The sequence below is a fragment of the Homo sapiens genome, chromosome 14 (genome assembly GCF_000001405.40).
Source record: "Homo sapiens chromosome 14, GRCh38.p14 Primary Assembly".
In the NCBI taxonomy this organism is placed as follows: domain Eukaryota; kingdom Metazoa; phylum Chordata; class Mammalia; order Primates; family Hominidae; genus Homo; species Homo sapiens.
The window spans coordinates 50,546,167-50,567,595 of NC_000014.9; the positions used below are offsets into that span (position 1 = coordinate 50,546,167).

The 21,429-nt window shown below is 40.8% G+C and overlaps 2 protein-coding genes across 7 annotated transcripts in view, besides 3 other annotated features; one reads left to right on the forward strand and one right to left on the reverse strand.

Annotated features, from left to right (window-relative positions):
- MAP4K5 (mitogen-activated protein kinase kinase kinase kinase 5) overlaps nt 1–14,960 on the reverse strand; it is a 142,606-nt gene extending 127,646 nt beyond the window's left edge. For all 3 annotated transcript variants that reach the window (XM_047430898.1, XM_047430897.1, XM_047430893.1), the window contains exon 1: nt 14,874–14,960. The gene's annotated coding sequence lies outside the window, so the exon portion shown is untranslated. The remainder of the gene's footprint in view (nt 1–14,873) is intronic.
- Nucleotides 1–21,429, forward strand: part of ATL1 (atlastin GTPase 1) — a 99,987-nt gene that overhangs the window by 13,085 nt on the left and 65,473 nt on the right. For 2 of the 4 annotated variants that reach the window (XM_047431430.1, NM_001127713.1), the window contains exon 2: nt 13,961–14,133. In XM_047431430.1, coding sequence (XP_047287386.1) covers nt 14,100–14,133 — 34 coding nt within the window. In that variant the 5' untranslated portion in view covers nt 13,961–14,099. Of the gene's footprint in view, nt 1–13,960; nt 14,134–21,429 lie in introns of those variants that run through there. The other 2 variants (NM_181598.4, NM_015915.5) reach the window with 1 other exon arrangement.
- Nucleotides 14,073–14,572: an enhancer, noted in NCBI's record as "H3K4me1 hESC enhancer chr14:51026957-51027456 (GRCh37/hg19 assembly coordinates)". NCBI's record gives its function as "activates a minimal SCP1, AML or CMV promoter by ChIP-STARR-seq in naive H9 embryonic stem cells {active_cell/tissue: H9 hESC(naive)}" and the evidence as "EXISTENCE:reporter gene assay evidence [ECO:0000049][PMID:30033119]".
- Nucleotides 14,073–14,673: a biological region, named in NCBI's record as "H3K4me1 hESC enhancer GRCh37_chr14:51026957-51027456".
- Nucleotides 14,314–14,673: a silencer, noted in NCBI's record as "silent region_5724". NCBI's record gives its function as "represses an Ori minimal core promoter by ATAC-STARR-seq in GM12878 lymphoblastoid cells {active_cell/tissue: GM12878}" and the evidence as "EXISTENCE:reporter gene assay evidence [ECO:0000049][PMID:35858748]".

Below are 21,429 nucleotides of genomic sequence, written 5' to 3' on the forward strand. Positions count from 1 at the left end.
AAATCAAACTGCTATGAAAACTACTTTACCCCAAATTTTTGTCCACAGCCTTCACTGGATTACCTATTAGGCAAATAAAGTTTAGCCATATGAAGGGGTCCCAATTTTGTCAAAAATGATATGGATCCAGTTATCCTTTATAGTCTCATGAGTTTATAATACTATCTCATGGCTAGAGTTCTGAAGTAAAAGGTACTGGGTGTGTGTGTGTGTGCGTGTGTGTGTGTGAGAGAGCATACATGTTTATGTTTATATGTATGTACATGTGTTATATGTTATGTCTGACATGCTACCAACTTGGCTTATAAGTAAATGAGTACTCACACATTAAGGTAAAGTCAAGTACTTTTTAAGTTTGTGTAAATTTAGTAATCTTTAATAAACAAGCTGGATTTAAAATTATTGGTAAAATAAAATAGAAATGTCTTCAGAATTGTCTGCATACATTTTTGTCTAGGTTTACTGATTAGGTAAGTTTTATATTTGCCTCTGCTAGATATTTTAAGATGTCAGAGTTTGACATGAAAGTTATAAGACTGTAAACCCAGCCAAAACCAGAATGATCTTTGTTTGTGTGGTTTTTTTGACAAATAAGACTAATTTAATATAGTTGGTTCAATGAAAGTAACAAAATCTTCTGAATTATCAGCAAAATGCCCATGTGTTTAAGGTTTTTTTTTAATTATTATACTTTAAGTTCTGGGGTACATGTGCGGAACATGCAGGTTTGTTACATAGGCATACACGTGCCATAGTGGTTTGCTGCACCCATATACCCGTCATCTACATTAGGTATTTCTCCTAATGCTATCCCTCCCCTAGCCCCCCACCCCCCAACAGGCCCTGGTGTTTCTCACTCATAAGTGGGAGTTGAACAAAGAGAACACATGGACACAGGGGGAGGGGGGAACTTTAAGGTTTTTACTTAGGTGAACATCTTATATTTACAGGCTATAAAAATGGTTAACAGGAAAATAAGTTAGAATAGTGATTAGATTTGTCTAATATCTCAGTTCTCATGAGTCATCCAGATAAACTGCTAAAAACGAATGAATTGGATAGATATGAATGAGATAAATGCTTATAGGTGAACTCTTGTGTAATTTAAAATCTTAAAATTATTTTAGGTACTCAGTGAATGTCTGAGTGATTTCCAGTTGAAAAAAAAATGTTATAATAGAGGGCATTGGTTGTACTTCTGTACCTGTTAATGGGAAATGAAATCTGTTATGTAGGGGAAGCATTGGTGGACCTCTGTGAGCTGAATAAAAACAAGGACGGAGTCTGAAAATAAATCAAGGAGCAAAAAGAATATGGGCCAAATGGGTGCCTGTACACTTGCCCTAGCCCAGGCAGGCAACGAAGATGAAATAATACTGCCTACCAGGGGAAGATTCTGAGATCACCCAAACAATCCAGAAGTTACATAAGGTACAGATAGGCCAGAACCCCTATAACAGCCCTGTGTGGCCTGTGAAAAAGCCAAATGGCACTTGGAAAATGATGGTAGACTACCATGAGCTAAATGAGGTGGTGCTGCTTGTATCTGCTGCCGTACCCAATATTACTCAACTGCCACAGCAAGTAGTCCTTAAGCTGGGAAGTGTCCGTGCTATGATTGACTTGGATTATGCCTTTTCCAGTATTCCTTTAGTGGAAGATTTACAAGACCAGTTTGCCTTCACTTGGGAGGGCCAATAATGGACTTTCCAGGTACTACCAAAAGGATACCTGCACAACCCCACCATCTATCACAGTATAGTTGCATAGTACCTATCTAGACTCTCTTTGCCTGCCTCAGTCTCTGTGTTTCACTGTATTAATGATATCATGCTAACCTCAGAGTCTCTTGCAGATGTGGAGACTACCCTACAAACCACCTTGGATGGCCTAAAGAACAGGGGATGGGAAGCCAACCCCAAAAAGATACAGGGGCCCGGGATAGGGGCCCAAATTCCTGGGAGTTACCTGGTCAACTAAGACATGAAACATACCTGGAGCTGTCACTGATAAGATAGTACAGCAGCTTGTTCCCCAGACAGTAAAGCAACTGTAGGTTTTCCTAGGTTTACTGGGCTACTGGAGGATATTCATTCCTCATTTGGCACAAACCCTCAGCCCATTGTACACCCTAATGAAGAAGAGTAAAAAATGGGATTGGGCACACATAGAGCAAGAGCCATTTGAGAAAGCAAAAATATTGGTGAAACAAGCCCAAGCACTAGAGGTCCCACTGCCACAGGATCCTTTTGTATTAGAAGTCACTAGAGATGCCACAAGGATGACTTAGGGTTTGTGGCAAAAGCAGCCAATGGGAATGGTAACTGTAGGGTTTTGGTCTCAATTATGTTTCTTTGTTTTGAGATGGAGTCTTGCTCTGTCACCCAGGCTGGAGTGCAGTGGCGTGATCTCGGGTCACTGCAAGCTCCACCTCCCAGGTTCATGCCATTCTCCTGCCTCAGCCTCCCCAGCAGCTGGGACTACAGGCACACACCGCCACGCCCAGCTAATTTTTTTGTATTTTTAGTAGAGACAGGGTTTCACTGTGTTAGCCAGGATGGTCTCGATCTCCTGACCTTGTGATCCGCCTGCCTCAGCCTCCCAAAGTACTGGGATTACAGGTGTGAGCCACTGCACCCGGCCTGGTCTCAATTATGAAAGGGGGCAGAATCCCACTATACAGTCCTAGAGCAACAGCTATTAGCCATGTATAGGGCATTGCAACAAGCAGAGGCCATCACCACCAGAAAGCAGACCACACAATAAAAACTGCCTACCCCATAAAAGGTGGGTGGAAGGCTTTCTAACCAAGCCCGTCTCTGGGGTGGCACAATTACACACCCTGCAGAAATGGCATGCCTGTCTACAACAAAGGGGTGCCCTGTGTACTAGTCCTTAAAGTCAGCTTCTACAGGAGGTGCTTGGACCCATTCACTTTGAACAAGTGGAGGGAGCCAAGATGGCAACGGAACCACCTACCAGGCCAACCATTGTATATAAGGGGACCCCACCAATACCCACTAGGACCTGGTACATTGATGGGTCTAGCAAAGGCACCCAACACCAATGGTCAGTGGTCATGGTACAAATGGATACTGACACCATATAACCATATAGGTACATCATAAGAGCAGCCACAGGGTGGGCCACAGCAAAGGCAGCAGGCATCTCCATCCTCTATGCAGATATTCTAGCAGCTGTTCAGAACTGTGAGACCTACTCACAGCTGAGACCTAGAAGGGTTCCCTCTGCACCAAGTCACATACATAAACCCATACAACCTCCACAGGACTGACAAGTCAATTGTATTGGTCCTGTGCCCTGGAATGGTGGGGAAAGGCATACCTTAACCTGTGTGGACACAACAATGGGGCTACTACTACACAACAATTGGGGCCTTCCCAATAAAACATGCCACCCAGCTGGAGACCATCAAGTGTCTCACTGCTCTTAGTTTCATATATGGCATGCTACGAAGAATATATAATGATCAGAGCTCCCATTCATGGGCCACGATATCCAACACTGGGCATCAGAACAAACCATAGACTGGAGGTTCCACTACCATATAACCCAACAGGGGCAGGACTCACAGAAAAAAAAGGAATGGCCTTTTAAAAACCCAATTACATGCACTGTCCCAGAATGGCTAAGTTCCCTGGACTAAGAATCTCCCTGAAACCATACAAATTTTAAAAGAGTTACCCACTAACACACTTGGCATCATTCCGTATGAATGGGCCTGTAAAATATGCGCCGCAAACTCTCAGCGTTACCTCTGAGACACTGAGCTGTGCTTCTGAAGCAGAAGCCATACTGTGCTCCTAAGAACACCAGTGGATCTGCCAAGTGGCGATGGCTACATGGACCTTCAGGTTTTATGATGCTGGAGGGTGAATGAAGGCTGCTGGAGGATAAGTGATCCCAGCTGTACTCTTTGAGGGAGGTCTGAGAGCCTTATGATATCAACATCAGCAGCACTGATGCCTGCTGGAGTGGTCATAGTGCAGATTGCATAGGCAAGGCTGGAAGCTTACCAATTGGCTACTATACCCACTCCTAGAGAGGGAAGCCATGTGTGGTACTGTAAGCCAGAACTGAAGCCTGTGGCAGCCTCATTAATAGGGCCAATGGGAGAAAATATAGCAATAATAATGTTACAAGGAGTAGATATACCCATGAGGGTCCCTACTGAACATCTGTGTTTGCCTTGTTTCTGCTACCCATGGCAGCTGGTAATGTCTTCTGAACTAGGCTGTGACTACAGCAGCGGTCAGCCACCAGTCCTATTGTGGGGTATGTGGATTCCTCCCCTTGTTAAGTTGCAATGGTATGCCTTGGGATATTCTGCCTTTTGCCTGACAGAACTGGAGTGACTGGTTCAACAGCACCAATAAGGCAACCCAGGATCACTAGGGATTGTCTCTGCAGGAAGGCCTGATTGCCAGTGCAATGGAGACTAAAAGATATGTGCCCTTAGGCCACAAAACAAGTCTCAATAAACTTAAGAAAATCAAAATTATATCAAGTATCTTCTCAGACCACAGTGAAATAAAACTGGAAAATAGCTCCAAAAGGAATCCTCAAAACTATACAAATACATAGAAATTAAATAATCTGCTCTTGAATGATCTTTGGGTTAACAATGAAATCAAGATGGAAATTTAAAAATTCTTTGAACTGAATGATAGTGACACAACTTATCAAAACCGCTGGGATACAGAAAAAATGGTGCTAAGAGGGAAGGTCATAGCATTAAATGCTTACATCAAAAAGTCTGAAAGAGCACAAATAGACAACCTCAAGGAACTAGAGAAACAAGAACCAAACCCAAACCCAGCAGAAAAAAAAATTAACAAAGATCACAGCAGAAACTAAATGAAATTGAAACAAAAAAAATTCAAGACAGATGAAACAAAAAGCTGTTTCTTTGAAAAGATAAACAAAATTGATAGACCATTAGTGAGATTAACTAAGAAAAGAAGAAAGAAGATCCAAATAAGCTCAATTAGAAACAAAATGGAAGATGTTATAACTGATACTACAGAAATACAAAAGATCATTCAAGGCTACTATGAACACCTTTATGTGCACAAACTAGAAAGTCTAAAGGAGATGGATAAATTCCTGGAAATGTACAACCCTCCTGATTAAATCAGGAAGAAATAGAAACTCTGAACAGACCAATAACAAGCAGTGAGATTGAATCGATGATTTTAAAATTGCCAAAAAAAAAATTTCAGGATCAGATGGAGTCACAGCCGAATTGTATCAGACATTCAAAGAAGAATTGGTACCAATTCTACTGAAACTATTTCAAAAGATAAAGAAAGATGGAATCCTCCCTAAATCATTCTTTGAAGGCAGTATTACCCTAATACCAAAACCAGGAAAGGCCATAACAAAAAAAGAAAACTACAGACCATTATCTCTGATGAACATAGATGCAAAAAATTGTAACAAAATACTAGCTTTCTGAATCTAATAGCATATCAAAAAGATAATATACATGATGAAGTGGATTTCATACCAGGGATTCAGGGATGGTTTAACATATGCAAATCAATAAATGTAATACATCATATAAACAAAAATTATGTGATAATCTCAGTAGGCACAGGAAAAGCATTTGATAAAATCCAGCATCCTTTCATGATCAAAACCCTCAAAAAATTGTCATAGATGGGACATACCTCAAAGTAATAAAAGCCATCTATGACACACCAACAGGCAACACAATACCAAACAAGGAAAATTTGAAAGCATTCCCCCAGAGAACTAGAACAAGACAAGAATACCCACTTTCACCACTTCTACTCAACATAGTACTGGAAATCCTAGCCAGAGCAGTCAGACAAAAGAAAGAAATAAAGGGTATTCAAATTGGAAAAGAGGAAGTCAAACTGTTGCTGTTCGCCGATGATATGATCATGTACCTAGAAAACCCTAAAGACTCATCCAAAAATCTAGACCTGATAAATGAGTTCAGTAAAGTTTCGGGATACAAAATCAATGTACACAAATCAGTAGCACTGCTATATACCAACAATGACAAAGCTGAGAATCAAATCAAGTACTCAATCCCTTTTACAACAGCTGCAAAAAAAAATTAATTAAATAAAATACTTAGGAATATGCTTAACCAAGGAGGTGAGAGTTCTCTACAAGGAAAATTACAAAACACTGAAAGAAATCATAGATGACACAAACAAATGGAAACACATCCCATGCTCATGAATAGGTAGAATCAATATTGTGAACATGACCATACTGCCAAAAGCAATATACAGATGCAATGCAATTCCCATCAAAATACCATCATCATTCTTCACAGAACTAGAAAAATATCCTAAAATTTGTATGGAACCAAAAAAGAGCCCACATAGCCAAAGCAGTAATAAGAAAAAGAACAAATCTGGAGGCATCACATTACCTGACTTCAAATTTTGCTGTGAGGCTATAGTTACCAAAACAACGTGGTACTGCTATAAAAATAGGCATGTAGACCAATGGAACAGAATAGAGAACCCAGAAATAAAGCCAAATACTTACAGCTAACTGGTCGTCGACAAAACAAACAAAAACATAAAGTGGGGAAAGGATACCCTATTCAATAAATGGTGCTGGGATAACTGGCAAGCCACATGTAGAATGAAACTGGATCCTCATCTCTCACCTTATAGAAAAATCAACTCAAGATGGATCAAAGACTTAAACCTAAGAACTGAAACCACAAAGATTCTAGAAGATAACATCAGAAAAACTCTTATAGACATGGGCTTAGGCAAAGAATTCATGACTAAGAATCCGAAAGCAAATGCAACAAAAACAAAAATAAATAAATGGGGCCAGGCATGGTGGCTCACGCCTGTAATCTCAGCACTTTGGGAGGCTGAGGCGGGTAGATTACTTGAGGTCAGGAGTTCAAGACCAGCCTGGCAAACATGGTGAAACCCTGTCTCTACTAAAAATACAAAAAAATAGCCATGCATGGTGGTGTGTGCCTGTAGTCACAGCTACTCAGGAGGCTGAAGCAGGAGAATGCAGTGAGCCGAGATCGTGCCACTGCACTCCAGCCTGGGTGACAAAGCAAGACTCCGTTTCAAAAAAAAAAAAAAAGTGGGTAAAGGACATGAATAGACAATTCTTGAAAAAATATATACAGACAGCCAACAAACATTGAAAAAATGCTCAAAATCACTATAAGGGAAATGCAAATCAAAACCACAATGAGATACAACCTCATTCCTGCAGGAATGGCCATAATTTAAAAATTAAAAAAAAATAGATGTTGGCATGGATGTGGTGAAAAGGGAGCTCTTTTACGCTGCTGGTGGGAATGTAAACTAGTACAACCACTACGGAAAACAGTATGGATACCCCTTAAAGAACTAAAAGTGGAACTACCATTTGACCCAGCAATCCCACTACTGGGTGTTTACCCAAAGGAAAATAAGTCATTATGTGAAAAAGATGAATGCACACGCATGTTTGTAGCAGCACAATTCACAATTACAAAGATATGGAACCAAGCTAAATGCCCATCAACCAATGAGCGGATAAAGGAAATGTGGTATATATACACCATGGAATATTACTCAGCCATAAAACAGAACAAAATAATGGCCTTTGCAGCAACTTGGATGGAGTTGGAGGCCATTATTCTAAGTGAAGTAACTCAGGAATGGAAAACCAAATATTGTATGTTCTCACTTAAAAGTGAGAGTTAAGCTATGAGGATGCAAAGGCATAAGAATGATATAATGGACTTTGGGGACTCCGGGCAAAGGGTCGGGAGGGTGAGCAATGGAAGACTACATATTTGGTACAGTATACTCTGCTCCAGTGACAGGTGCAGCAGAATCTCAGAAATCACCACTAAAGAACTTATTAATGTAACAAAAAAAATCTGTTCCCCAAAAACTATTGAAATTTTTAAAAAGTTTTTTTTTTTTAATCCACAAAAACCAATACGTACCCTTAGAGGCACTACCTGTTGTGCCTATATGCCTGATGAAGAGAACAGTGTCACAAATGTTTTAAATCATTTGTCAACTCAAATTCGTTATATAACCCGATTAAGCTTCTTTGACTCATTCTCAAATTGGTTACACACCTTACCTACTCATTGGAGTTACGTTTTGCTAACAGGCATCATAATTGTAGTTAGCTTCTGCTTTTTATGATGTTTTGTATACTGTAGATGTGGCTTGTACGCACAAGCCATGGCTATACTTTATAGGTCTGTATAGTTCTTCCCCTCATACCCCACTCAAGGACTTTCATGCAAGATTGGTGGGAAGAATATAAAGAGCTGGGGAATGGGGTGGATTGTAGTGTGATGTGTCCCCACTAGGTTATTTAAGGTGTACATCCACTGCTTGAATGGGGAAGGCGGGGCAGTGAGCCAAGACCATGATGCCCACTGGAGGAGCAGGTGTCCCTGAGAACCCAAATATCTCAGATGGTATCTGAGAACTTATCAAGGAAAACAATCTCATTGCTCAAACACAGTAGGCAAAGAAGTTACAGAAAATTTGTTTAAAAGCAGTTTAGAGATGGGAGGTGGCATGGATCTCTAGAGCTATCCTGCTGCTGCCCAGAAGTGTCCTGTATAAGTCCTCACAAACTCATCCACTCGCTGGGCTGGACTCGTCTGAGTCATTCTTCAGTCTCTTGGTTCCCTCCCAGCTTGGGAGAACATTTTTCTATACAGTCCTGGATTTTTCTCATAACACCAACACATGGAAGATGGTAGAGTGCACCTTTGTCTTTTTGGCAAAGTCTTCTGGTTATTTTCCAATGTCTATTTCCCTTCTTCGTTTAGTATTAGACCCCAAAATTTTTGTTACATATACGGTATATTTATCAATGAGGTGGGACATGGTAGGTCAATGGTATTTGAGTGGAGATGATGTGTGCACTTTCTGGGTTGTACCCTTAGAGAGAATGGATATATTCACTTCTTCCCTTTTACCCTTCTGTATGGCTAGAATGAAAATGTGAATGCCCACACTAGAGCAGCCATCATGGAACATATGATAGAAGCCCCAAGTGAAAGATGGAAGAAGGCATGAAGAACTTTAGTTCCTTCATTTTTGTTTTGTTTTGTTTTGTTTGTTTGTTTGTTTTTGAGACGGAGTCTCGCTCTGTCACCCAGGCTGGAGTGCAGTGGCGTGATCTTGGCTCACTGCAACCTCTGCCTCCCGGGTTCAAGCAATTCTCCTGCCTCAGCCTCCTGAGTAGCTGGGACTACAGGTGCACGCCACCCGTCCCGGCTAATTTTTTGTATTTTTTAGTAGAGACGGGGTTTCACCGTGTTGCCCAGGCTGGTTTGAAACTCCTGAGCTCAGGCAATCTGCCCGCCTTGGCCTCTCAAAGTGCTGGGATTACAGGCATGAGCCACCGTGGCCAGCCAGTTCCTTCATATTTTGAAGCCACGGTATTATCCCTGGATGGCTTATGCTCAGATTATTTCATAAGACCAAAATAAATATTTGTCTTATTTCAGCCGTTGTAATTTTTATAGTAGCCAAAGCTATATCCTAACTAATATAGTCCATGATACCACTGAGCTGATGAACTGACCACCATAGAACCAGTCTATCTTTAAACAAATTGTTGCATGAAAGTAAATGTCATTTTTTGGTTAAGCCATTTTGTGTTACCGCCAAAAGCATTCTAATTGACATAAATACTTTTCTAAGATTGCTATTTATAGAGGGAAGGAGCAAATTGAACCATCAACTATTGAGAAACTTCTGATTGAGGGAGCCCTTTACTTATGATGGAGGAAAATGAGCATGGTGAAAGAACCAATGGAAGAAAAAATAATTGAGGATACAGGGGGAAGAGAATAGTTTGTGGAGTAACATCCCGGAAGAGTCAGGAAGAGAGAGGATTTAAAGTACTAAAGTTCAAATGGAGTAATACCTTTTCTTCTTTTATTCTGATTTAAAATGAACTTGACTTTTGACTTTTTAAAAACATTTGTATTTTAAAAACATAATTCACATACCATAAAATTCACCAACTTAGATTGTACAATTCAGTGGAGTTTTTTTGTTTTGTTTCATTTTTTGAGACAGGGTCTTGCTCTGTCATCCAGGCTGAAGTGCAGCGGCCTGAATCCTTGAACTCCTGGGCTCAAGGGATCCTCCCACCTCAGCCTCTTGAGTAGCTGGGACTGCAGGTGCACATCACTGCACCTGGCTAGTTTTTCTATTTTTTTTATAGAGATGGGGTCTTTGTATGTTGTACAGGCTGGTCTCGAACTCCTGGCCTCAAGTGATCCTCCCACCTCAGCTTCCCAAAGTGCTGGGATTACAGGCGTGAGCCACTGCACCCAGCCTAATCCAGTGGCTTTAGTATACCCAAGAGTTGTGCAAAGTTGATTTCATGATGAATTCTAAAACATTTTCATTGCCCCCAAAAGAAACCTCATACTCATTAGCAGTCACTCTCCAATTTCTCCCCAACCTCCCACTCCTTTCTTCCATCCCTAAGCAACAATTAATCTACTTTCTGCCTCTTTAGATTTGCCTATTCTATAAATTTCATATAAATGGAATCATATAATATGTGGTCTTTGTGGCTGGCTACTTTCATTTACTATAATGTTTTCAAGGTCCATCCATGTTGTACCATATATTGGTACTCAATAACTTTTTATGATCAAATAATGTTCTATTATATGGATATACTACATTTTGTTTATCCATTCACTAGTTATTTGGCACTGGGATTGTTTCCACCTTTTGGCTATTATGAATAATGCTGTTATGCATATTCCTGTACAAGTTTTTTTGTGGACATATATTGTAATTTCTTTAGGGTGTATATCTAGGAGTGCTAATGTATATGGCAATTCTATGTTTAACTTTTTGAGGAACTGCTAGACTTTTTCCCAAAGTATCTGCACCATTTTATATTTCCATCAGCAGTTTATGAGGGTGCCAATTTCTCCACATCTCACCAACACTTGTTATTATCTTTTTGATTATAGTCATCATAGTAAGCATTTTAAAACTTATTCTGGAGAATGTGAAACATTACTGTTCTAAGACTCAGAGTTATATAAAAGCATTACACTTAGAGAAATATCAGTCCCCTTAATCCCTACTACCCTCTTCCCATTCTTCCATTATTTCTACCCTATTCCCACCCATCTCCCGTAGGTGACCAATCTCATTGGTTTCTGGTTTAGTCTTGCTGTATTTATTTTTCACAGATGAATGGATACTTTTTTCATATCCTTTCCTTTTTCCAGGAATGGTATACTATTTTCACTTTTTCCTCCTCATTTAACATTGTATTCTGGAAATCACTCTGTATTAGCTTATAAAGATCTTCTGTATTCTTTTTCACACCTACATAACATTCTATTGCGTATATGTATTATAATGTATTCAACCACTCATCTATATGTGGGCATTCAGGTTGTTTCCAGCATTTTACAATAACAAAAAGTAATGTAATACATAACCATGTATGTTTATATTTTCATACTATTGAGGTATTTCTTCAGAGTAGATTAAACTTATGATTAAAAAGATGCATTCTAGCAATGTCCACTGAAAGGGTCTAGAAACAGTGATCTTCACCCAGCAATGAGCACAACTAGCACCCACGTCTTGGTTTCTAAACACCTTTTCTCGTTAAAAGGAGCCACAGCATCTTGGAGAAATGGCTATTCTAGTTCTAAGATAGGGAAAATACAAAGGAACCTGAAACATTTTCTTTTACCAGAATACAGGGAACTGCTCAAAGACAAAAAGGGACAATGTTAAAAGGACACACGAGCTGACCCTCAGCCAAATTAGGGGAATTTAGGCATTAAAAAGAATGGTGATGCATAGCACAATTTTTTTAAAAGCTTCCATTAATTTATAGAGGGACTCAACATAGAAAAGTGGGAGAGGGAATGCCAGCTACTTAATTTAAAAGACATGACATCAAGAGGCTGAGGTGGGCAGATCGCTTGAGCTCATGAGTTTGAGACCAGCCTGGGCAACATGGAGAAACCCCGTCTCTACATACAAAAACAGCCAGGCGTGCTGGCGACCGCCAGTAATCCCAGCTACTTGAGAGGCTGAGGCATGAGAATCGCTTGAACCTGGGAGGTGGAGGTTGTAGTGAGCTGAGATCACGCCACTGCACTCCGGCCTGGGCAACAGAGGGAGACTGTGTCTGGAAAACAAACAAACAACAGATAATGATTTTAAAGCCTCCATTTAAAAAATCACTAATATGAAATTGATTCAGGCAAGGATCAATGGATGCTAAAATCAGTGGATGAAAAGTTATTGGCCAATAGTACAAAAAGTCACATACAGAGAGCTATTTATTTAAGCATTTTTTTGTGATTCACACAGTCTCAAAGTATTCACCTGCAGATTACTTACTAATTATAAACACAACAGGTTTTTAAAAAATTAATTTCTTTTTCAATTGGGCATAGGTGTTGAATTATATAAATTTTTTCTTTTTTGTGTGTAATCTATTGTACTCTTAAAAATGGGATTCATATGAAAGGGATTTTCAGGCTGGAATGTAAGCTGAGAATGATAGTAAAGGAATATAAGAAGAAAAGCAGACCACACTTCTCTTTTGTTCTATGAACTTGGTTTATAGGTATAAGGATGAGATAATGTCTGTCTTCCTATGTTGTTTCATTAATGTCATTTCAACTCTGTTGAGCACAGACTTCTTTAAAACCATGTTGTAAACTTGGTTACAGTGTTCACGACTCTGCAGTCACTAGAACCAGTAACTGAAATATAATGCATAAGATTTGGCAGTGGTGGGGGAGTTTGTTTTCAGATATGTTGATGTTCAAATGTCAGTAGGAAAACAACGTGAGGATAACCTTAGGCAGTTATAAACACACCTCTGGTATAATGTCCTCTCTTCTAGAGGGCAGAAGACTACAAGTATAGATTTGGGAATCATCAGCATGGAGGTCCTGTCTGAAGCCATCATAGTAAATTACATTGAGAGAGTGTAGCGTGAGGAGTTGCTTACCATGAGGAATTAGCAGAGATCATGGATCTGGTAATTAAGAGGCTGGCAGTGATCTCCTAAGAACCGATCAGTACAGAGTGTGAGTAACAACCAAATGGCAGAAGGAAACTGTAAGGGACGGCATGATGGTATCTTGAGGTTGAGGTAGTATAAAGGGACAGTGTTTCCAGGTTACTGAAAACAACTAAGTTTGTAGCAGAGAGAAAGCAGTGAAAAGGGAAAGATTGAAAGTATTTTTATTTTTTTTCTTTTCCTTTCAAAATTGTCTGCAACCTTTATGGCTGCCAGGGCCCACCCATACCCAGACTATGTAGTATGATTTCAGCTCAAATAATTGCTATTGGACTATAGGTCTGGACCTTATCTTTGCAAATCTAGTGGGAAATTTTACCCAGTGGATATTGAGTTACAGATCGTAATGAATCTACAGCTTTCATTTATCTTGATCTTCTTGATATAAATTTTGCTATTCTAATTTTAAGACAAACTACTCAGTATACATATACAAAAATGCATGATACCCTCTTTACTAACATGACCTTGCTTTTAAAATGGAAAAAAAAATGGGTGCCTCGTAGATAAATGCACATTATTTTAGCTACTTTGGCTATATAAATGTTGCCAGCTTGTTTGTACTAATGTATAACCGTGCTTGAAACAGGTATTTGAACATCCAGAATCATGCAGTATATCGGTTTGTGTATTTCTGATAACGCTGTTAAATTCTTTGAGAGTGTGTTCGAGGGGGGTGCTGTTTATTTGTTTGTGTTTTCCGTTGAAAATGTTGCGGTACGTGGTCTATCACTGTCTTCACGGTCTGGGGGTGGACTGAGGTAGGGAGGGTGTGACGCTGGTATCTGTGTGAACTCGGGCTTGTGATGCTGAGCTTGGTTCATCTGCTTTCTCCTCCCTTTTCCTCCCCACTCCTTCCCACCAGCGCCACAGCAACATCCTCAGAGTCTGAGCGAACTGCGCCCAGCGCGGGCACGGAGCCTCCCACCGCCAGCAACCTGCGGCCCCGGAGAAGGCAGCGAGCGCAGTGACAGCGCCTCACCGCCACCAGCTCCTGGACCACCATGGCCAAGAACCGCAGGGACAGAAACAGTTGGGGTGAGTAGCAAATGAGAACTTCTGCAGCCTGCACGGGGTCTTCTGGCCCTCCACTTTCTGCTTCTGTGGAGACAGGGAGGGCCAAGGGCTGCTAGGTGCCTGCGTCCACGGCTGGGAGACGGGCCGTAGCCGAGCCGCTCCCTGTTTGGGCGGAGGAACCATGGCCGAGCGGTACCCGCGTCACCGAATCGCGCTGTCGGGGTGAGGGCTGCAGCTTCGCGCAGGCCGGGCCTCCAGCTCCTTCTTCCCCACCCCCCTCCCGCCTCCTCCCAGCATTTGGACAGCACCCACCAGGCGCCTCCGGGGACTTGTGGGTTCCGCCTTAGCGATCGGTTGGGAGGAAGGCTATGGGGGTGGGCAGGGGGCTGTTGTTACTCGGCCCCAGAGGGGCGAGGGGTCGGGGATCTAGAGCAGGCCAAGCCCCAACCCCCCTCCCCGGGAGCCGCCAACTCGCTGGCTCTGCAGGGCGCGGGCTCCCGGCGGCGGGCGGCGGGCGGCGCGCTGGAACAATGAGGCGGAGCGCGCCGGGTCCCGGACGGACGGTAGCAGACCGAGCAACTGGGAGAAGGGCCACCCTCTTGGGAATTCCTGAGCACTGCAGTACTCCTCTTAATTTGGGGGTTGGGTGGGGGAATTGGGGAAGAAGGAGAGCAAAGTTGTGGTTTCCAGCCTTCTGCCCCACCCCGACGTGGTACCCCATTCAGACCAGCCCCAAGGGTGGCTTTGTTCTTTGATTTTACCTTTTGGAGACATTGGGCTCATGATTCAGCACCAGGCCGAGGGGAGGGGAAAGGAGAGGCGAGACCCAGTATGTTCACACCGCGAGTGGGTGGGCGGTGCTCACGCAGGCGGAGAAGAACGGGCGCAGCGATGCGGAAGAAATCGCGGCCCCGCCCGCCTTGCTGCTCCAGACCTAGTTCTGGACGGTTAGTGTGGGCAGGCTGGGCGTCTTTTTGTCGTAGGTTCCCGATTTCTTGCAGTCACAGTGCTAAACTCACCAGCATCTTAGGAACGAAAGCCCTCTAAGGCATTTATTTTATTATCTGAACCAGAGAATGTCTCAGGCTACTGTGGCTTGGTGGGTAAATAAATATTTTGTTCATCAGCTTGTTATTTAGAAATTGTTATTTGGAAATAACAGTTGTTATTATTTGAAAAGTTCAGAGCTGCTTGATTCTGTTCCACATCTCAGTGAGAGCTCTTCTATAACTGTTTATTTGAGCGAGAGGCACAAATGTAAATTTTAATTGGTTATTTCAGTTTACTTTAATCAAAAGACCGTGTATCTCCTTGCCTCTGATTGTTCTAATGGTCACAGGATACGGTAGACAAGGTTTACATTTGGGAGATTATCCAAGGTTTGTGGTAGGCATGGAGAGTTGGAGCGGGGAGGTCTGTCATGACTTAGCTGAGTTTAAGAGAAAGTGGTTCCATTTTCTGAGATCATGAAACTTCAGTTTTAACAGACCTACCTGACTATTGCAATAAGTTTTATTTCCTTCTTCTGAAATTTAAGTAAGCATTTGCAGTGTATCCCCTTTCCACCCGTTCTCTTGGCCTCTAGAATAGGAATTTATTGAACACACACAATTAGGGTGCGTATATTCAAGTCACTTTTGGTCTCAGTCTCCATGAATTGTTGTCTCCACCCTGTTAACAGAAGCATGTGAAAATGTATTCTGAGGATTAAAATTTTTCTCCTTTATGAAGCTTTGGATCATTATTGCGCAGAATTTCCTTTGGCTATAAACTTTTTTTTTTTTGAGATGGAGTCTTGCTCTGTCGCCTAGGCTGGAGTGCAGTGGTGCCTTCTGGGCTCACTGCAAGCTCCACCTCCCGGGTTCACGCCATTCTCCTGCCTCAACCTCCCGAGCAGCTGGGACTACAGGCGCCTGCCACCGTGCCCGGCTAATTTTTTGTATTTTTAGTAGAGACAGAGTTTCACCATGTTAGCCAGGATGGTTTCGATCTCCTGACCTCGTGATCCGCCCGCCTCGGCCTCCCAAAGTGCTGGGATTACAGGAGCGAGCCACCATTCCCGGCCTTATAAACTTCTTATGTAGTGGGAGTTTTTCCCTCTTGGGAACATGGTTCTCACATCCGGTTTTCATAAAAATCACACAGGGACTTATTAGAAATGCAGACTCTCCCATCTTCCAGCCAGAGCTTTGGAATCAATAGATCTGAAAGAGGGCCTAGAAATCTGCCTTTTAATTAGCATTTTAGGTGATTGGGAAGCAGATGGTCTTTAGGTGTTACTTTGAGAAATACTACCTTAGATTATTTACATTTGATAGAAACATCTCAGATAGTTTACCCAGAAGTCATCAGGAAAGTTTCAACTCAAGTGATGGATTAGGAAAAGAAATACTAGAATCACTATAGTGTTTACTGGAAATTATTATAGAAAAGAAAGAGTGGAATTCTGGACTCTTATCTTGATGTTCTATGGAAATGCTTTACTACTTAGATTTTTCTTTGCTGTTAAGTACATATGACATAAATGACTTAGAAAATGTAGTAGATGGAGTAGGAGATAGAGGTTTTGGCACAGATATTAGCCCTGTCAGTCTTAATTCCATTTTATTACCAGTATCTAATAGAATGCCTAACACAGTAGGCATTTAGTAACAGCAATAGTAGCCAACATCGTTAAGCTAATGTCATATGAAATAGGTGCTGTAATACTCATTTTACATATTAAAAGGTAAAGCTAGTAGATGATTGACCCAGGATTCCTGCTCTGGCAGTTTGAATTCAGATTCCTTTATCTTCTATCTCTTTGTTGAATGGATAATACCTTCTGTATTATATTATAGAACTACAGTTTCAATGCATATTCATCTGCATTATTGCATTTGATCTTCAACCTCTTAAGTATGTGTCTTAGGGCATATCACTATTTTGCAGATGAAAAAACTAACTCAGAGGTGAGTTAAATGATTTGGTGAAAGTCATGTATTTGGTAAGTAAAAGGACTGAAATTAGAATCTGGGTTTTTTTCCTAATTTATTTTCTATAACATGATATTGTGGAATGTTTTCATGGAGAGAATGGGGTGGGGTGTGAAGATAATAGAGAAAACAGATCCTTGTAGTAGACAGAGGTCTCTCATGAGAAAAATCTTATGAGAGCTTAAAAAAGAAGACAGTGAACTGACCTTATCTAGCTAAGTAAGTATTTTTCAGACAAGTTAGAAAGAAAAAGGCATCAAGGTAGACAATCCAGAATGAGAAAATACAGTGATTTCCAAGAAAAGGGCAAGGAAGATATTTGCAAAATCAGCATGAGAGCTAAAATTTAGATAAGGAATCTAAGGACCATATAACAGGTGTTTTTATCTTAGTAGCTAGAGACCTGTAGGTCTTACAGGGACCATGAAAGCTACACAGCAGAAAAGCATCTCTGCTGACTGCTAGAATTGAGGACGATGTTTGAAGACCATACCCAGAGATAAAACTGGGAAGCGAGTCTGAGTAGAACTGAGCATCCTACCATCTGTACCTAAATCTACTCTTAAGATGTTTGAATAAATTTAAGCATATAAAAGTCAATTCTTCCAAAATAGGCATTGTTATTATTAATCATTTGAATGTATAAGAGATCTGAGATTCAGAGAGCATAAATGACTTGCCAGAGGTACCATAGTTTCTAGGTTATAGATCTAGTATTCAAATTCAGAGTTGTTTGCTTCCACAGTCCATGCGATGAGGACAAGGAATAGTATGCCAAAAGGTACCACAACAAGCTTATCTAGGATTAAGCTGATATAAGAAATCAATGCTGTATAAATTTGATCATTTGGACTAGAGAAGTAGGCAAAGAATGTGCTAGTGTGGAAAATAAAGGGGACAGATAAGTATCAGAAACAGTAGCCCAGAAAGCAGTCTTGCACTGCTTGGTCAGAGCTTAAGTGCTACCAGAAACAAAACAGAAATGCATACTTTGTTTGTTTGTTTTTGTCAAAGTTGCTTAAAAACTTGGGATACCACCTGGGAATTTGAGTTTTCTACAATGTAACAGAAACAGATAGTGCAAAACTGCTTTAGAAAAATAGTATTCGCACTAGGCTGGGCGTGGTGGCTCATGCTTGTAATCCCAGCACTTTGGGAAGCTAAGGCGGGCAGATCAGGAGGTCAGGAGATGGAGACCATCCTGGCTGACACGGTGAAACCCCGTCTCTACTGAAAATACAAAAAATTAGCCGGGTATGGTGGCATGCACTTGTAATCCCAGCTACTCGGGAGGCTGAGGCAGGAGAATCGCTTGAACCCGGGAGGCGGAGGTTGCAGTGAGCCAAGATCCGCCGCTGCACTCCAGCCTGGGCGACAGAGCAAGATTCCGTCTCAAAAAAAAAAAAAAAAAAAAAAAAAAAAAAGAAGAAGAAAAGGAAAAAGAACGATAGTATTCGCAGCAAAGTATCAGCTTTGACTACCTTTAAAAATAACTATCTTAGCTTCACAGTAAGTGTAGGAAATGCCTATTTGTTGAAAAGGCATTTGTGGAAAATTAATTTTTAGGTTTCTGGTTTTGAGGAAAGATTTAAAACAATCTTGAGTGTACTATAGTTACCTCATGATCTTCTTTCTTTTCCAGTTGGCTATATTCTATTTTTCTTGAAATGAGACCGTCTGTCCCTTTTTACCTACCTCATCTTCTATATACCTAATTCTTCTAAAACAATATAAAATTTCTACTTGGTCTTGGCTGGACACGGTAGCTCATGCCTATAATCCCAGAACTTTGGGAGGCCAAGGTGGGCAGATCACCTGAGGTCAGGAGTTCGAGACCAGCCTGGGTAACACGGTGAAACCCCATCTCTACTAAAAATGTAAAAAAAATTAGCCGGGTGTGGTGGTGGGCACCTGTAGTCCCAGCTACTTGGGAGGCTAAGGCAGGAGAATGGTGTGAACCTGGGAGGCAGAGGTTGCAGTGAGCCGAGATCGCACTACTGCACTCCAGCCTGGGCCACAGAGTGAGACTCCATCTCAAAATAAATAAATAAATAAAAAACAAACAAAAAAAACCACCCCAAATTAGCTGGGCATGATGGTGCATGCTTGTAATCCCAGCTACTAGGGAAGCTGAGGCAGGAGGATCACTTGAACCCAGGAGGTAGAGGTTGCAGTGAGCTGAGATCGCACCACTGTACTCCAGCCTGGGTGGCAGAATGAGACTTCATCTCAAAAAAAAAAAAATTCTACTGGGTCATACATGTACTGTATGATATGTACTATATATAAGACATGTACTGTAGATTTTCCTTCCCTACATTTTTTAAGTTGCCTTCCCTGCATCTTTTCAAATGTACTTTTCCTATGTATATTTTTTATACTTAACATCTGCTTACCTTGTCTTGATGACTCAAGGGTTACACCTTTGCTGCATTTCAGACTCTGCAGACTTTATTATCTTTAGAATCAGTGGCTACACTGTAGGCAGAACCTGTGATCACCAGGGAAATAATCCACTGTGTAGTACTTCCAGTAATAAAAAAAGATTTTAGATTTGGAAGGTCTTCCTCTTTTACATAAAAATTTCTTATGAAACATATATGTATACAAAATAACATGTAAAACGTGTTCAGTTTTAAAAAAGGAATGAGCACCTGTGCCCCCCAGCCAAAGAAATAGAACATTATCAATATTTTGTCACTCCTTGTATGCCTCTCCTTAAGGACAACCTGTTTTGTTTTGTTTTCTTTTGTTTTGTTTTTGAGACAGAGTCTCTCTCTGTCACCCAGGCTGGAGTGCAATGGTGCAATCTCAGCTCACTGCAACCTCCGCCTCCCAGGTTCAAGCAATTCTCCTGCCTCAGCCTCCTGAGTAGCTGGGATTACAGGTGCCCGCCACCACACCCAGCTAATTTTTGTATTTTTAGTAGAGATGGGGTTTCCCCAGATTGGTCAGACTGGTCTCAAACTCCTGACCTCAGGTGATCCACCCACCTCAGCCCCCCAAAGTGCTGGGATTACAGGCGTGAGCCACTGCACCCGGCCAGGACAACCTGTTCTTACCCTCTCCAAAGGTAAACACTTTCATTAATTTGAAGTTTCTAATTCTCTTGATAATTTTTACAGTTTAGCTATAAATAAATATATATATATCCCTAAATAATATACTATTTAGTTTTACATTTGAAGAGCCTAATATAAAGGGAATCTAGAGTGTGCATTTTTCCACAAGATATTTTGTTCACTCCACATCCTTACCCATAGTTGGTAATATGATAGGTCTGAAATGGTATCTCATTGTAGTTTCAATCTGCATTTTACTGATTACCAGTGAGATGTGAGCATATATTTATTGTCCATTCACATTTCCTCCTCAGTGCCTGTTTGCCCTTTGCCCATTTTAAAATTAGGTTATCTTTTTCTTCTTGCTTTGTAGGAGTTTTATACATATTTTTTATATAAGTCCTTTGCTGATTGTCTTATAGATCTCTTTTACCACTTTTTGCATGACTTTGATCTCTATGGTGTATTTTAATAAACAGACATTATGTATTTAAACGTAGTCCATTTAAACAATATTTTCCTTTATGGCTTGTACTTTTTATATTTAAAAAAATCTTCTCTTACCTCAAAGTTATAAAATCGTCTTCTATATTATCTGGTTTTAAAATTTTACACTTCATTTTTTTTCAGTTTTTAAAATTTGTGGTAAAATACACATAACATAAATTTTACCATCATAACCATTTTTAAATGTACAGTTCCGTGATACTAGTACACAAGTAAAATATTGTTGTGTAGCTATCACCACTGTCTATCTCCCGAACTCTTCATCTTGCAAAACTGAAACTCTGTGCCCATTAAACAGTAACTCCTCATCCCTCCTCATGGCTACTAGCAGCCACCATTCTACTTTCTTTCACTATGACTTTGACTACTCTGTGTACCTCACGTTAGTGGAATGATACATTTTTTTTTTTACTGGCTTTTTCACATAGCAAAATGTCCTCAAGTTTCATCCATATTGTAGAATATATCACAACTTCCTTCTTTTTTAAGGCTGAATAGCATTCCGTTGTAAGTATACACCACATTTTTTTATCCATTCATCTGTTGACAGACACTGGGTTGCTTTCACATTTTAGCTATTGTGAATGATGCTTCTATGAACATGGTGTACAAGTATCCCTTTGAGACCCTGCTTTCAATTCTTTTGGGTATATACCCAGAAGTGGAATTGCTGGATCTTATGGTAATTCTATTTTTAATGTTTTAAGGAACTGCTATACTGTTTTCCACAGAGGTTGTACCATTTTATGTTCTCATCAACAGTGCACACAGGT